The sequence below is a fragment of the Homo sapiens genome, chromosome 9 (assembly GCF_000001405.40).
Source record: "Homo sapiens chromosome 9, GRCh38.p14 Primary Assembly".
Lineage (NCBI taxonomy): Eukaryota > Metazoa > Chordata > Mammalia > Primates > Hominidae > Homo > Homo sapiens.
Window position 1 is genome coordinate 8,223,366 of NC_000009.12, and position 1,582 is coordinate 8,224,947.

The 1,582-nt window shown below is 45.4% G+C and overlaps 1 annotated feature.

The window, feature by feature from the left end:
* Window positions 464-758: a silencer, noted in NCBI's record as "tiled region #3353; K562 Repressive non-DNase unmatched - State 24:Quies". NCBI's record gives its function as "represses a minimal TATA promoter and a strong SV40 promoter by Sharpr-MPRA in K562 cells {active_cell/tissue: K562}" and the evidence as "EXISTENCE:reporter gene assay evidence [ECO:0000049][PMID:27701403]".

A 1,582-nucleotide genomic window follows, 5' to 3' on the forward strand; every position in this document is an offset into this window, starting at 1 on the left:
CAGCTAATTTTTGTGTTTTTTTTTTTTTTTTTGGTAGAGACAGGGTTTCACCATGTTGGCCAGGCTGGTCTCGAACTCTGGACCTCAAGTGATCCACCCACCTCAGCCTCCCACAGTGCTGGGATTACAGGTGTGAGACACCACAGGACACATTTGTGTAAAAGTTTTAAAAACCGGCATGTAGTTTTGCCCCTCTCTTTTTTCATCTGACATCACAATGTCCCAGACAAAGGGTACTGTTTTAGCCTGAGCCTGATTGAAGAGCTGGAGCCAACCCTGAGAGGCAGTCACAGAAGTGAGAAACCAACATTGGTTGGTACAAGCCCCTGAGATTTGGGGTTTTGTTTTTTGTTACCTTGGAATAATTTAGAATAACTTAACATAACTTAGCCTAAACTGAGTTGAAAACAGATTTGTACTGGGGAGCAGAGGGCAAGTGCAAGTAGAGAGCATGTAGACACTAGGATACCAGGAGAAGAGGAAGGGGGAAGGGGACAGGAATTATCTTAGTACTGTACCTAGTACAGATATTTTGTACTCATTTCTTTTTACTTTATCTTTATGACAATCCTATAACTAGGATCAATACTTAGCTCTTCTCTTAGAAGAGACAAAGAAACTAGTATCAACCAGCAAGATGGGATTTCCCAACTTCAGCAGTCCTGACCTTCTGAGACAGATAATTCTTTGTTGCAAGGGGAGAAGGGCTGTCCTGTGCATTGCAGGAGGTTTAATGCTCTTTGGCCTCCTCCCAGTAGCACCTCCCAGATCATAACAATCACACATGTCTCTAGACAATGCCAAATGTTTCCTGGGGGACCAAAAGACCCTAGTCGGGAACCACTGCAGTAGAGTCCTGAAATCAGACAGAAGTCCACCTTGCTTAAATGTCTATGCCATTTCCATGAGGCCCTCCAGACAGCACTGAAGGTATGCAAAGAAGGAGGACTTGGCCCCCTCTTGACCTAGCCTGGGCCCTACCTGGCCTGTTTAGTGGATCAGGATGGAAGACAGATTCTCACTTGCCTCACTGACTTACCTGAGCTGTCATCTGGCCCTAAACAGCACAGCGCACACTGTGCATATGCTCCATATCCTGTTACCAAATAGCTGAGCTGTTCTTCCCCACAGAGGATGTTCCTAATAAATTATAGGTCTGAGCGAGTGATGAGCCTGAGGAAGGGTCATGATGAGTCTCTCTTTACTGCTATTAAGAAAAAATAAAACCGTGGTTAACCACATGGACCATATGGGGAATAAATCAAGGAAACTTAAATATGTACTAGGAGGAATTTCTGAGGCCAGGAAATGCAGCTCTAGCTTGCTCTCCTGCCAACCTGTGAAAAGACTCATGCTTGATGCATGGTGAACTGTGTCCTGTGGCTGTCAGCCAGGAGACTTCTGGTGAGGCCACGGGCATGAACAAAACATATGTCCATGGGGCCTCCTCCTGCCTCCCAATTAAGGGGCAGAAATAACACTCCACCTCATTGGGCCTTGGGAAGGCAGGCTAAGACTCCAAACATTAATTACCACAATGTCAAATGGTTACATCTTTCTCACTCTCTGAGAAGGAAAAGCA